We start from the raw sequence: 15563 nt of genomic DNA on the forward strand, positions 1-15563 counted from the left end.
TCAGTTTAGCATTCTTCAGAGCCAGCATCCAACAAGCCACAGAAGCTCTGAGTATTTCCCTTTCTTCAGTCACCCACATAAATGGCTTCAGGGCCTTCTGGGGAAGGCCTGAAGGAAGATTTACAGCATACACTTGTGGCAGCATTGAAGGCTTCACTCTTCCTCAAGGGATCCAATCTCCCCTCAGTCAAGAAGCTCCAGGTATCTGAACTGGATGCCAGGTCATAAATTCCCACTATGGTGACTCCATCAGGTCTCTGTCCTCAGAACTAGAGCTTTTCTAAGTGTAACGTAAGTTGATTTCTTAGTAGATGTCCCATCCATTACATTCCCAGACACCTCACAATGATTCGAATGATTAGTAACCACCACATATCCCTGCCTCTCAGGGAAATCCCTCCCGCCTTGTCTCTAGATGGCCAAGTCCCACGGCCTGTCCTCTACTCTTCCAGAACCCTGTTGTTCTCACTGACAGCAGGGAGGGCAAATCCATGCAGCAGCTCCCGCCATGACCTCCAGCCTGCAGAGGATGGGCGCCACAGGACTTTTAAACGCATGCCGCTGTTCCCCTCACCTGTGCATTTCTTAACGCCTTGGTGAGGAGAATGTCTCTGGATCTTCCTTGATGGGAGCTAAAGGAACAAAGGTAAATAATGCTATGGGACCCACTGAGAACTGGGGCTGTGGAAGAGTGGCCACTGAAGTAATAGACAGATGCAGCTATTGCCAGATACTCAGTGCCAGAGCAGGGAGGGACAGGGAAGAAATACGGACCTCACCTTCCTCTCACTTCCAGGATCCATCGGGGGCCCTCCATTGCTAAACCTAACTAGAAGTGTGCACGCACGGGAGCCAGGGATGCATTCTAGGAGGGACGAGCCCCGAGTGGCATGAGACAGGATGGAAATGAGTGGACAGTGGATCTGTGGGAAGAAGGAGGGGATGTTATGGGAAAACAAAAGGAGAATACTAGCTAAGAACGCTAGGTGACATTAATATTCCGAAGTCTGTGCTCATATTCAGCAAAGAAAGTTCAGCATAAAGCACTAAATAAGGAGTCAAGATATTGTACTTCCAACTGTTGTTCCAACAGCTGTATTATGAAGGGCCACTTTATTTCATGCCTTTCTAATTTGACCTAAAGTGCCAGGTGGCACTGGGGCTGGCACAGCCTTGCTCAATTATGTGTTGCAGAGTACACAGAGACTGCCAGGCTGAGGGAAGATGCAAGAGAATAGAAGAGATGCTCTCAGGGAACAAGAGACCACATGGCCCCAGAGTCAGGGGCAGCATCAGCCACTGTCAGCTGCTCATTTTCCCAGACAGAGCCCACAAGCCTCAGCCATGCTTTGCTTCTGCAAGACGCTTCTTCACCTTTTCAATAAACCTGCCTGAATTTAAGCTGACAGGGTTTATTTCTCCTTCATCATAAATGAAATTCTTCACCACAACAATCTCCAATGAATTTTGGGCACAGCAGGCAGGCCCATTTCTGCTTCTGTTCCACTATCTCTCCTGTAGGTTGAAAAGGAGGAGGTACTGAATTACCTCCAAATGTTCCTCTGGCTCTGATATTCTGTTATTCTGGTTCCTTTTTGGCTACTTTGTTTTTGGTAGCGTGTATCCTAAGGCGTCCAGTTGAACAACTTTTGTCTACTGTGTCCAGGCATTCCTGGTGGTATTTCAGATAAGACTCTCTTGGGTTGCTGAACTCACAACCACTGAACCAATTCTATGACCATCTGTTTCATGGCCACATGTTTGCTCATTTTATATGTACATAAAGGGAGGGGACAGACAGCAAACTTGCGTGTTACAAATTGTATCATCTTAAAAAGGAAACAAGGCAACACTTTGCAATAAAACCTTAAGATGCATGAAATTTGAGCCTAATGCAATAAAGGATGCCCATAAAATTCTTATCTAAAGAATGTTTCGAAAATTGTTGTACAAGGACATCATCATTTAAAGTGATATGAAGAAACCTTCTCAGCTAAGCATATGGGCTAGATTAGAGAGAAAAATAAAGGACCCATCTCTGCCCTGGAAAAACTGCTGGTAGCATCTTTCAAAAAGCTCTCTGTGTTTGAGTACGCACCTTGATCCATAGGCTCACATTTGATCCCAACTGGCAGCTGCTTCTTGGCATTAACATTGGATTCCCAACTAGTAAATCTTACCAAGATCTGACTTTCTGCAGATATAATATTATTTTGTTTGACCATCCTTATCTTCAAGGGCTACCAAGAAGGAACCAAGAATTTATTTACCTCCCCAAGGGAAAAGGTTTTACCAATGAGACCCTTTCTCACCATGACCCCAGGACCCCATATGCCCTGTTCACTTGAGTGCCCTGTGTGGCCTGATAGAAGCTCATGCTGGTCACAGGATTCCTTATATGACTAGCCTCCTTCCTGAATCCCAATTTCATGGTGGTGGTCATGACAGGTGTCCTGTATCCCATGCTCATGTCCCTGAAGTCACCAGCCTATCTCCAGTTAGAAAAAATTACATGTATATAGAGAGGCCTCTTTGGAAGGAGCAAAAGCTTTCTCACCTTCGTACACTAATGGTTGGAAGGTACAACAGCATATGCACTTTGGGAAAAAATATCTGGCATATTCTTACAGAAACAAACAACTACCTATTCTATGACTCAGTAATTCCTAAGCATTTATCCAAGAGAAACTAAAACCTATGTCCAGAAAATGACTTATACAAGAATGTTCATAGCAGTTTTATTCATAATACAAAAAACTGGAAACATTCAAGTATCTGTCAATACAAGAATGGATCAATAAACTGTGATACACTCATTCCATGGAATGGCTAAAGGAACAAACTGGTGACACACAGAACAACATGGATGAATCTCAAAAACATTTGGAGTGCGATAGAAGCCATACCCAAAAAAGTGTGAGAAAAAAAGATAAATAATAATGGTTCCAAGAAATGCACAGCAGACAGCCCAGAGGCAAAGACCCACAGGACGGCGGGCCGGTCCCAGGCTGTCGATCCTAATTAAGAAACTTCTGCTGGATTTTGCCCAGCTCCATTTCCAAACTATTTTGGGTCAGTGACTTCTTTATCCCTTCCATGTTGCCTCATTTTGAACTAGAATCACTGTAAGTGTTATTCTATGTCTGTCACATCATTCCACAGTAGGGGCAGATAAGCTGTTTAGAATGGCTAAAATTCAAAAAGGTGAACACACCAAATGCTGTCAAAGATGAGGAGCAACCAGAACTTTCCATCGCTAGTGGAAATCAAAAGGGTACAGTCACTTTGGAAAACTTAAGTTCACTCAAAATCCTGCACAGAAGTACTTACAGCAATTTTATTCATCATCGCCAAAACTTGGAAGTGCCCAAGATGTCTTTCACCAAGCGAAAGAATAAACAAACTGTTGTAGCCATACAAGGAAATCTGATTCACTGATTTTAAAAAACAAGTTATCAAGCCATGAAAAGACATGAAGGAACTTAAAGTACATAATGCTAGAAAGAAGCCAGTCTGGAAACCCACATACTGTACCACTCCAACTCTAGGACATTCTTGGAAAGTCAAAAAGATAGAAGTAGTAAAATGGTGAGTGGTTGTCAGGGGTGGAGGAGAGGAGGACGCGTGAAATGGTGAAGCACAGGGAATTTTCAGCAGTGAAACTCTTTCGCATGATGCTGTATTGGGGATTTAGGACATTATGTAATTGCCAAAACCCATAATCTGTGAAACTCAAAGAATGACCTCTAATGTAAACTATGGACTTTAGTTGATAATGACGTATCAACAGTGGTTCATCAATTGTAATGAATGGACCACACTAATACAACATACTAGTAGGGAAAATTGTGTGCTGGAGGACAGGGGAGCCTAGGAGAACTCTCTGTATTATCCACTCAAGTTTTCTGTAAACCTAGAACTGTTCTAAAAAATAATGTCTATTAACTGTTTTTTTAATTAGGATGCAGCAGCCCCATATCAAGGTTTTGGTGGCATCCTGTAATTGTGTGGTTAGTACTTGGCATTGAAGTGCACCAACCTGGAGTCAGAGCAGTTGGAGATTTCAAGGCCTGTGCCATTTACCTCTAACCCTGGGGTGCCCCTGGAATACAGATAGCAGATCGGTTAAGGAGAAGCAGCCTCAGCAATCTAGACAGTGCAGGTTTCTGGTGAGGACAGGTAAAAACCATCTGGGTGGGCAGAACTTGGTGAAGACCAGAAACCACTGAGACTCAGCAGCTGCCGCAGTGGCACCCACAAATCAAAGGAGGGGGCTGGGAAGAGCTAAGGGCTACTGGATGAGCTCTCTGCCTGCAAGACAGAAGCAGATCCAGAGATTTTGGAAAATAATGTAGGTTTCAGTACAGTGTGATCTCTTCAAAAAAGTAGAGAGAATGAAAAGGAAAGAAAAAGAGAGAGCATGAGAGAGAAAGAAGAAGAAAAGAAGAAAGGAAGAAAGGAAAGAAGGGAGGGAAGGAGGGAAGGAGGAAGGAAGGGAGGGATGGAGGGCGGGTGGGAAGGAGGGAAAGAATAAAAAGAGAGAGAAAGAGAGTTGGAGGGAAGTAGGGAAGGAAGGAAGGAAGGAAGGAAATGAACAAATTTACATGAAGATGAGAACAGTGGGGAAACTTACACCACCAATATTTTCCATTAACAGGAACACGCTAAGTAGTTATTAGAGAAAGACACGCTACTGTAAAACAATATACTGTTTCCATGGGGTACAACAACCCCTTCCTCCTCCTCTGAAACACATTCTATCTCTGGCTCACTGTTGCCAGAGACACTGAGTCTTGTCTTTGGATACGTTCTGGTGCCCACAAGAATGAGATGAGACAGTGGATCCCAGAACACCAGGCCACGAACTTCCCTGTTGCTCCTTGTCCACTCCAGAAGCTACCCAGCTGCAGTTGGGGACCTCAGCCCCTGGGTCTGATGTCATCCATTTGCCTTTCTCAATGGACTTCTCTCCTTGCACTGGCTCCTACTCCCCCAGGACCTGTGGGTGACCACATGAGAAGAACACAAACAGGCCATGCCCCTTTCTTTCTCCCCCTCTCAATGCCTGCAGTAGTGGGTTCCATGGGGTAGTGACCTGAGATTTACTCATTGTGGGGCCTCTAGCCCAGAGCAGGGCCTACTACCTCACAGTCACCCCATGAATGCTCAGTGAAAGAAGACGTCCACCACAAGGTCCTGGGGAACCAAGAATTCCACTGTGGCCCATAAATTCTAAGTCTACAGGATTCTGGAATGGGAGATGGGAAAGGCCTTCAAAAGTGGCCACTTTTAACCCATTATACTGGCAACTGAGCCATGTTTCCCCATCCTGGACACATCCAGAGGGCACTGCCTAAAACCAGACACATCTCCCCACCCAGGACAGTGTAGGAGCCTTAGCCTGGGGGATGCAGGTGGACAGGGAGGGGGTGAGCCACCAAAGCTGAAGAGCAGAAAGCAGGTGAAAGGGGACAGCAGGGTGGAAACAGAGAGAAATGGGGGCAGAGAATGGGGGGTGAGAGGGGAAGAGTGAGGAGAGGGATGCAGATCTAGCTAGTAAGGAAAAGTCCTGGAGAGAACACTGTCCTCTCCTGAAGTAAAATCACTTCTACCTGACCACGGCACTGCAGCTCATGGGCAGCACATGCTGTGGATATTTGTTCATTCATTTAACAAATATTTATTTAATATCTGTTGCATGCCAAGCAAGGCCCTGCAATGTTTAGGGACCTTGACATCTTCCCTTCACATCTGAGTCATAATACAAAGAGGACTCTCTGACCCCACTGAGCTGGCAATGCCTCGGGATTTTTACCTGTTGGATCTGGCAGCTCTTGATGTCAGCCCACACCATGTGAGGCTGCTCTTGGTGCACCCAATGGGGAAGTTTCTACATCAGGGCCTCGGAGAATCCACTGGAAGCCCTGGACAGTGGGAGTCAGCGGCATCCCCAGTGTGGAGGCCAAGAGCACACAGTGCTTAAGCTCCAGGCACCCTCAGGAGGACGGCAAGGGACAATTGGCTGGTGAGAGCCCGGGTCACCGGGAACCTTCGCCTGGGTCTAAACAGGATTTGCCTTCAGATTGCCTGTGAGATAAAAGAGAGAAATCAAGGTTAACGTTGAGATTTAGGGCTTCGGTAACTTGAAGGATGGAGCTGCCATTTACGGAGACTGGGAAGACCCAGGGAAGAGCAGATTGAAAGGTGGTGGGAACTAGAGGTGGTTGGGTTTCTGTCATATGTAATCAACAGTCCTGACCAGCCTGGGCAACATAGTAAGACCCCGTCTGGGAAAAGAAAAAAGGAAAAATAAGCTGAGCATGGTGGTGCACACTTGTAGTCTCAGCTACTTGGGAGGCTGAGGCAGGAGGATTCCTTGAGCCTTCAGTTAGCGGTTAGTGAGCTATGATGGCACCACTGTACTCCAGCCTGGGGGGAAAAAAATAAAGAGTCCTGACTAAATACTAGAGTAGCCAGGGAAGTTTTCACAAAGTAAGTAATATTTGAGGCAGATCTTAGTGAACAAGAATTCCATTATTTCTGTTAGGGAATTAAGAGAGTGTGGGTGTCGTTAGTTAATGCTTATTAAAGTAGCTTTGGAATCTCATCTACTGGTCTAGCTGGTCTATCTGTACACGTATATTGTATATGCTGTCTCTCTGAGCTTTCGCTAGGTTATGCTACGGTAACAAAAGCCCCAAAATCTTAGCAGCTACACATACGAAGGTTTATTTTTCATTGACATGTCCTTTTATGGCAGGTTGACTGTGACTCTACTCTATACAAGCTACTTTATTTGTTAGATGGTGAAAACTGTGATACTCGGAGGTTGTTGAATATGGTATTAGTATGTTCATTCATTCATTCATTTAAGAAATATTTATTCAATATCTGTTTCATGCCAGGCAAGGTCAAGTACTGAGAATACACTGGTGAATCAAAGAGACAAAATCTCTAATTGCCAGGAGCTTATATTGAAAATCAGATTAAACACATACAAAATCATCATAATAACAACAATGAATACTATATTCATAAATAATAGCTGTAAGAGATTTTAGTACATCTTTTAAATTAGAAAAATATAAAAATTATTAAAACTAAAATGGCCAGGTGTGATGGCTCATGCCTGTGATCCCAACACTTTGGGATGCCAAGGTGGGAGGATCATTTCAGCCCAGGAGTTTGAAACCAGTCTGGGCACTACAGGAAAACCCTGTCTACAAAAAGGAGAAAATTAGCCGGGCACAGTGGTGCATGCCTGTAGACCCAGCTACTAAGGAGGCTGAGGTGGGAGGAGTGCTTGAGCCTGAGAGATCAAGGCTGCAGAGAGCCATGATCATACCACTGCACTCCAGCCTGGGCGACAGAGCGAGACACTGTCTCAAGAAAAAAAAAAAAATTATTTGATGTAGTCCTAAAACTATTATGTAGAATACTATTGTTTATATCACAGCACGTGAGCCCCTTAAATGGCTTAACACTTATTTAGGTATGATCCATAAAGCTTTTCTGGTAATTAAGTATACTTAAGAACAATTAAGTATAAAAGAGTTACTGCCTTGACAGGAAGATTGTAAAAATTTTAAAAAGACAAATAAATAAAAGAGTAAAAACTGTAGCTCTGTGAGGCTCAAATAACATCTAATTCAAGTCACAATGAACATCTAGCAATCATTCTGAACACCATATAATTCACTTAATACGTTTTGCCTGAACACCCAACACATCTGAATTACCAACACCCATATGTAGCCAAGAAACTGGCAATCATTTATAAATTATCACCTATGACTCCATCTGCTCTACGCACTTATTTTTTAAATTTTATTCATTTATTTATTATTTTTATTTGTTGTAGAGATGGGATCTCACTATGTTACCCAAGTTGGTCCAGAAACAGAAACAGACCCACACTAATTTCATAAATCAGATGACCATACAGTCATTCGATTTATGAAAAAAAGTGCCACATGGTGCGGAAGGAAAAGGATGGTCTTTTCAATAAATGGTGCTGGATCAAGCAGACACATCCATGTAGTAAAAAGTGAATCATAGCCAGGTGGGGTGGCTCACACCTGTAATTCCAGCACTCTGGGAGGCTGAAGCGGGCAGATTACTTGAGCCCAGGAGTTCGAGACCAACCTGGGAAACATGTTGAATCCCCATCTCTACAAAAAATATGAAAATTAGCCAGGCATGGTGGCACATGCCTATAGTCGCAGCTACTCAGGAGGCTGAGGTGGGAGGATCACTTGAGCCAGGAGATGGAGGTTGAGTGAGCTGAGATCCTGCCACCACACTCTAGCCTGGGCAATAATAGACTGAGGCCCTGTCTGAAAAAAAAAAAAAGCAAAAACTAAAATAAAATCGTTATAAGGTTAACACAGAAAAATGTGTTCATACTCTTAGGTTAGGCATTGATTTCTTAAACAGGACACAAAAAACAGTAACCATAAAGGAAAAGATTAATAAAGTATAATTTCATTAAAATGAAGAATCTCAGGCTGGGTGCAGTGGCTCATGCCTGTAATCCCAACCCTTTGGGAGGCCGAGGCAGGTGTATCACTTGAGCCTAGGAATTCCAGACCAGCCTATGCAACGTGGCAAAACCCATCTCTACTAAAAATACAGAAAACAGCTGAGTGTGGTGGTACTCCCCTGTAGGTCCCAGCTACTTGGGGGCTGAGGCAGGGGGATCACCTGAGCCTTGTGAGGTCAAGGTTGCAGTGAGCTGTGATTGTGCCACTGCACTCCAGCCTGGGCGATGGAGTGAGATCCTGTCTCAAAAAGAAAAAAAAAAAAAGAGAATCTCCCTTCATGAAAAAACACCATAAAAGAGTGAAAACGCAAGCTACAGATTGAAAAAAGGGAAATGCAATACATATAAATCCTAGAAAGGAGGCATATCCAGAATAAAGTATTACAAATCAACAGGAAAACAAGCATATCAATGAAAACTGGATAAAAAGATTTAACAGGCACGTCACAAAAGAGGACATATAAATGGCAATAAAAGATACTCAATCTCAATGAAACCACACTGATATATTACTGCACCCCTACTAGAATGGCAAAATAATTTTTAACTGACAGGTATCAGCGAAGATGTGGGGTAACCAGCATATCCCTGCTAAATGGTACAACTACTTTGGGAAAATGTTCAACAATATGTAATACTAAAGTTTTATCATTCATATACCTCTAAAACCAACAATGCCACCCCTACAAATATACCCCAGACTAGTAATGTTCAATTTCTTGATCTGTGGTGGTTCACTTGGTAAAAATTCATTACTTTTTTTTTTTTTTTTTTGAGACAGGGTCTCACTCTGCCATCCAGGTCGGAGTGCACTGCCATGATCACGGCTCACTGCAATCTCAACCTCCCGGGCTCTGGTGATCCTCCCAACTCAGCCTACCGGGTAGCTGGGACTACAGGCACACGCCACCACACACAGCTAACTTCTGTATTTTTAGTAGAGAAAGGGTTTTGCCACATTGCCCAGGCTGGTCTGGAAATCCTGGGCTCAAGTGATCTACCCACCTTGGCGTCCCAAAGTGCTGGGATTACAGGTGTGATCACTGCGCCCGGGCCACCTGCACATGTAAAATTGTGAACTTCTGTATACTTCAGTAACTTTTCCAAGATTTCTTTGACGCAAAGTTCTCAGAAATCTTAAAGCTAGCATTTCAGAATAGAAAAAGTAGCTTCTGGTTCACTAGTGAAATTTTACCAATAGAATTTAAAAACAAAAAGCTACTAACGCATATCAGCTCAGAACACTACCAGCAGATCTTTTCTTTAACTTCCTGAAGCACTGGGATTCATTCTTTTGGCAAAGAAAGGATGAACAACACTGTAACCCAAAGAAAAGATACCACTGCCAGAAAAGACTTCTTTTCGAAAGCAGCTCTAAGCAAAAGATAGGAGGAAAACAAGGAAGCCAGGCCAAACGTCTTGGTTAACTCTCCGCTGAAAGGACGCCACATGAGATGATCTAAGAAGCCAGCCAGCCAGCCAGACGCAGGGAAATCACAGCAACTCTTTGGAGTGCAAACAGCAACCCCACAATCCAATCTACCCGAAATCCTGCGGTTCATTTGAGGCTTGCCCCGCTAGTCAGGAGGTGATTCAGTGATGGCTACAAATGCTGCTCATGTGCATCCTGGAGCTGGCACACCTGGCTTGCCCATCACCAGCCTGGAGACACCGCCAGGAGCAGAAGCCCGGAGGCCAGTAAAGACCCCAACTTTGCAAGTCAGGGGCGCGAGCGCGCTCGCCTCTCAGGTCCGCAGAGGGAACGGATTTCTGGCCTGGAGGGTGGGGTGCGGGGTCAGTGTCCTCTACAGGATATAGGAGGACGTGCCCCCGAAGCTGCTCCGTCCCTCCACCCCCTGGGATGCCACAGAACACCCGCCAGCGAGTTTCTTCCCCAGCGCCCACGAGAGTTGGGCTGCGGGCGGCAGCGGCAGGCGAAGAATCCAGCGCGGGGAACTCAGGCCCCGGCGGTGCACGACCCCCCACAGCCCCCACCCGCCCCCGCGCTCGCGCAACAAAACTTGCCACGGCCGCGCCTCGACCCAGCTGTGCGCCCGCGGGTCCCGGATTCACCGCCCGCCCAGCCTGGCGCGGCGCCCTCACCTCAGAAACGCTGGGTGGACTTCGCGTAACTTCCCATTCACAGGGCAGCCGGCAGCCGCGCCGCCGCGCCTCGGCCCAGCTCCTGGCGCCGCAGATCGCCCGTCCCGCGTTCCCAAAAGCACCGCGCTCGCTCAGAAGCTCGGGCAGCCTCGCGACCCTCACCTACGCCTCCCAGTACCGCCGCTGTCTCAACCGCCACCCAGCCCCTCGCCTGCGCCTGCGCCTGCAGCCCACTGGCTCCTCAGGATCCCGATGGGCGTGTCAGGATAACCCAAGGCGCAGGCGCGGCGGGGCCTTAAAGGGACCCGGCGGCCTCTTCTGCACAACGGGTTCGAGCAGGTTAGGGGCCGCGCAGGCGGAGGAAAGGAGTAACCCAGGGGAAGGACCGAGTGCAGCGGGGACGGGGAAATCCCTCTCTCCCCTCCGCCTGTCTTTCAAAGCACCAGCCCTCGACCCTCCAAATCGCTGGTTTCCCCGGCCACTTGAACAGCCCCTGCCAGGTTGAAGAGGCAGGAGACACACCCCCTCTGGGGCTGGAGCGACCCCGCGCTTAGGACTGCAGGCCTCGCGCTGCCGCACCGCCCCGAATCTGACTTCCAGGCACGGGCACGCGGTGCAGTCGGGCAGGCTTCAGAAGAGCCCCCAGCTCTCCCAGAGGTGGCCTTAGGTCACTCTCAAAAAGAATAACCAATGTGTCAATGGCACTTGTAGTTATTTTCTAATTTAAATTTATTAACAGATTTTGCAGATGGGCTTCCACTGAAATAAGCCTTTGAGAAAAAGAAAAACTTTTTTTTTCAACAGGATTAGAATACCAAGAAATAGGAAGTAAAGCCATGCCGTCCACCCAGCTAAAAACTTTGAAAACTTGATATTTTATCTAAGGCAAATGTTTGCATAACTTTAGGTCATGCCATTATTTAAAGTCAATTTCAGTTAACAATTTCATTGCAACTGAATCTATCTTGTATAAGAAAACTAAGATACATCCCTGATAATCTACCTCTCCCCTCCTATACTCCATCCGTCAGCAAATCCTACTGGTTTTTACCTTCCAAATTTTCCTTGAATCTGTCCTCTTCTATCTCCTCCGTCACCACCCTAGTCTAGGCTGCCTTCACCTGGGGAGTGAGGGTCGAGGGACTACTGACCTAGTCTTCTTGTGGTTTACCCATATCCCCTTTATCGCCTCTCTAATCTCAACACAACAGGCAGAGTGGCTTTTCCAAAATATAATGTGACCGTGTCACTTCCCAGCCTAAAGCACTTAAACACCTTCCCATTCTCTTAGACAAAACCTCCTAACTAACCAAGCCCCGAATGGCCAGGCGCCTTGCCCACTTCTTCATCTCTTCTCACTACTCAGACCAATTCTGTTCTGCTCTCTCTGCTCCAGCCAAACTGGCCTCTTTTATTCCCTATTTACCAGCTTCCTGGCCTCCACAGAGCTTTTGCTCATGCTTTGCTCTGTGCCTGGAAAGTTCTTCTAACCCCTATTCTTCTGAGAACAGCTGTAGTCTCCACCTCTGAAAAGCACCTTCTGACCTCCCTATGGTGGTCCCTTACTCCTATCACATTGCATGAAACTGTAATCGGGTGGTTATTTTGGTGAATTTTTTACTATCGGCTACGTAAGCCCAGGGTTTGGTTTTGTTTGCTTCATGATTTGTATTTCCACATTTGTTAAATACATATTTGTTCATAAATGAGAATGATGGATGCTAGAAGTTGAAGTAAATTTGGCATAAAGTCAGAGAAAGAGAAAATGTCACAATCTGACAGTTGGAGTCAGAATGTAGAAACTTCAGTTATATTAAAACTGATTTTATATCGTTTTAGGCTGAGTTGTCTTAGGATGCTTTGGGTAACCTTTAAAACTGAGTTCTCAAAGAGCCTTGTATAAACACCTGAATTAATAATGATAAGCCATGGGGTGGCCCACATAAAACTAATAACATTGGTTGCTTTAAGAGAGGAAGACTGAGCCAGGCACAGTGGCTCATACCTGTAATCCAAGCACTTTGGGAGGCCAAGGCCCGCAGATCATTTGAGCTCAGGAGTTTGAGACTAACCTGGGCAACTTGGTGAGACCCTGTCTCTACATAAAATACAAGCAAAATTAGCCAGGCGTGGTGGCGGGCACCTGTACTCCCAGCTATTTGGGAGGCTGAGGTGGGAGGATTGCTTGAGCTCAGGAGGTTGAGGCTGCAGTGAGCCATGATCATGCCACTGCATTCCAGCCTGGATGACAGAGCAAGATCTTGTCTCAAAGAGAGAGAGAGAGAGAGAGAGAAATGAAGACTGGTGACTGGTGGCTACTGGTGGGAAGGAGATTTTTACTAAATGCCCAAAAGGTTTAAAATTGTAACTTTTTTATTTCAAAGTCTGTGAAGATAAATGACACAAAAGAGCACATACCTTCCCATTTATTTGAAATTCTAGAAAGGGGAAAATTAATCTGTGGTGAAAAAATCATAGCAGTGGTTCCCTCTGGCAGGGGATTGACTGGGAAGTTACATGAGAGAAATTTCTGGGTGGTAAAAATGGTCTCTGTCTTGATAGGGATATGAGTTATATAAGTGTATTCATTTGTCAAAAAACATACAGTTAACATTTCAATGAATGTAAATTTTACCTTAAAAACTATACGAATAAATGCAAATTTAAAATCTGCTAGCTAACACCTAGTTGAGTACTCAGTGTCTATGGGCATTGGCCGAGGCTATACATACACGATTTTCTTTAGTCCTCATACCGTCCTCATGGGGTAGGTATTATTATCATAACCCCCTTGCATATGAAGAAGCCAAAATGCAGTAAATACCAAATAACTTGCCTCGATTTATACCCCTGGAAAATGCGGGAAGAGCTTTAAACACCATCAGTCAAATGCCAGAAGTTGTTAAACATTAGACTCTATAGCACTTCTCTGAAATTATAGTATTTTTGGTATATGTATATATATATATATATATATCATCTACTAGATCAAGAGCTTCACAATGATTGAAATCATAGTTTGTCTTTTTGTTTGAGGTTTATGTTTTTATTTTACTTCATTATTTTAAAGACTGAGTCTCGGCCGGGCACGGTGGCTCATGCCTGTAATCCCAACACTTTGGGAGGCCAAGGTGGGTGGATCACTTGAGGTCAGGAGTTCGAGACCAGCCTGGCCAACATGGTGAAACCCCATCTCTACTAAAAATACAAAATTAGCCAGGTGTGGTGGCACGTGCCTGTAATCCCAGTTACTCAGGAGGCTAAGGCAGGAGAATCGCTTGAACCTGGGAGGTGGAGGTTGCAGTGAGCCAAAATTGTGCCACTGCACTCCAGCCTGGCCGACAGAGTGAGACTCCATCTCAGAGAAAAAAAAAAAAAAGACTGAGTCTCACTATGCTGCCCAGGCTGGACTTGGACTCCTTCATTCAAGCCATCCTCCTGCCTAGGCTTCACCTGGGACTACAGGCCCAATATTTTTGTCTTAAGTTTCTAAGCAGTCCCAAGACTTTGCACAGTAGCTGTTCAATGTATTTTGAGTGAATGATTAAAAACAAGCTTGATGTCGATTTTATTGGTACAATTTATATTTACATATGTAATATTTATATGCTTTTATATATTTATGTGTGCATGTATATAATTGGTACTAACTTAGCACTGCTGTGCCTAAGTGCCTGAGATGCATCTCAAATGAATAGGCCTGAGGAGAGAAGCTTGTGTCATTAGCTCTGACCCTGCAGCACTAATCCTGGTTTACCCCTTTCTTTCAGTCTCCCTGAGCACAATTTATTTGCTGAAAGGCCACATCTCACTATGGAGTGAGGATCAAGAAGTAAAGGTCTGAAAGAGAGAAGCTGCGGGGCTGGGGAGACTGTTGGTCGGAGAGGCGTCGGGGGCCCAAGGAAAAGGGAGGATTGTGGGGAGGAATCGGCGTAGAGATGAGAGGAGCAGCAGAGACAGAGTCTCACGCAGAGGTGTGCCCAGACACCCTGAACCAAGTTACTTAACCTCGTCCACCACCGTGGCACCCGTGGGGTCCGTGGGCCCGTCGGTCTTCCAGGAGGGATTCTGTGTCCCTGTTATTGTGTGTCAACATGTGTTAGCCTGATATTTATATTTTTAATGAGAGAAAACGAACTCTGGAATTTGCGAACTGTTTTTTCGTTTTGCTTTATACCTCTTGGACACTCCTTCCGAAGGATTGGGTCTCAAGGGCAGTGGGGTGTGACTACGGTAGACAGGGCTGATTAATTTTCATCCAAAACTCTTTGGCGGATTCCCCTGCTCTCCGCTTCTCCGGTCTAACAGTAGTTTAAAATAGAAGATCAGCAACATTTGGAGAGTTTTTTTCTTTGCATTTTAATGATAAACTTGATTTATTCCATTCCAAAAGTTTTCTTATTCTGAGGTTGTCTTTCTATATTTTGAGTATAAAACAATGGCCATACTATGTTGGAACCACCAAGGTTCTTCTCTTCACTTGTTCATTTGTAATGTCTCTTTATAATCTGAGAATTTCCTGAGCAAACTGGGAACTGTTATACATAATTCCTTGTTTTTCAACATTCTTTGTAAACAGGAATCAGGATTGGGGATGGGGAGGGAGGGAGGAGTAGGAGTCCTGATTTGTGGAACAGAAAATCATGGATTACTTATGTGATGGAGCAAAGGGTTTAAAAACTCTTAGCATCCCCAGATTTCCCCTTTTACTGTTTGCTGAAGAAAATTCTGTCTTTGACTCCCTTCCTTACCCTCTCCGGGCCTGTGAGAAGCTTCCTCCCTATCCAGTTTATTTCCTCCTCTGCTCCCCGACCCACCCCCCACAGCCCCCTCCTCTTTTTCAGTGAAGCCGCTGGAGGAAAGTCGGGTTTGGGAGAAGACCCACACAGGCAAGGACAGCAGGAGAACACTGACATAG

The 15563-nt window shown here is 45.2% G+C and overlaps 1 protein-coding gene across 33 annotated transcripts in view, besides 4 other annotated features; it reads right to left on the reverse strand.

The window, feature by feature from the left end:
* The window catches only part of NBPF1 (NBPF member 1), a gene marked incomplete in the record, with an annotated part of 51142 nt that extends 40270 nt beyond the window's left edge, over positions 1–10872 (reverse strand). For 31 of the 33 annotated variants that reach the window (NM_001405693.2, NM_001405684.2, NM_001405683.2 and 28 more), the window contains 2 exon segments: positions 5816–6087; positions 10646–10872. 33 annotated transcript variants of the gene reach the window in all.
* Positions 628–1128: an enhancer, noted in NCBI's record as "H3K27ac hESC enhancer chr1:16929815-16930315 (GRCh37/hg19 assembly coordinates)". NCBI's record gives its function as "activates a minimal SCP1, AML or CMV promoter by ChIP-STARR-seq in primed H9 embryonic stem cells {active_cell/tissue: H9 hESC(primed)}" and the evidence as "EXISTENCE:reporter gene assay evidence [ECO:0000049][PMID:30033119]".
* Positions 4578–5079: an enhancer, noted in NCBI's record as "H3K27ac hESC enhancer chr1:16933765-16934266 (GRCh37/hg19 assembly coordinates)". NCBI's record gives its function as "activates a minimal SCP1, AML or CMV promoter by ChIP-STARR-seq in naive and primed H9 embryonic stem cells {active_cell/tissue: H9 hESC(naive and primed)}" and the evidence as "EXISTENCE:reporter gene assay evidence [ECO:0000049][PMID:30033119]".
* Positions 5080–5579: an enhancer, noted in NCBI's record as "H3K27ac hESC enhancer chr1:16934267-16934766 (GRCh37/hg19 assembly coordinates)". NCBI's record gives its function as "activates a minimal SCP1, AML or CMV promoter by ChIP-STARR-seq in naive and primed H9 embryonic stem cells {active_cell/tissue: H9 hESC(naive and primed)}" and the evidence as "EXISTENCE:reporter gene assay evidence [ECO:0000049][PMID:30033119]".
* Positions 10716–11673: an enhancer, noted in NCBI's record as "H3K4me1 hESC enhancer chr1:16939903-16940860 (GRCh37/hg19 assembly coordinates)". NCBI's record gives its function as "activates a minimal SCP1, AML or CMV promoter by ChIP-STARR-seq in naive and primed H9 embryonic stem cells {active_cell/tissue: H9 hESC(naive and primed)}" and the evidence as "EXISTENCE:reporter gene assay evidence [ECO:0000049][PMID:30033119]".

This window comes from Homo sapiens, chromosome 1 (genome assembly GCF_000001405.40).
Source record: "Homo sapiens chromosome 1, GRCh38.p14 Primary Assembly".
Classification (NCBI taxonomy): domain Eukaryota; kingdom Metazoa; phylum Chordata; class Mammalia; order Primates; family Hominidae; genus Homo; species Homo sapiens.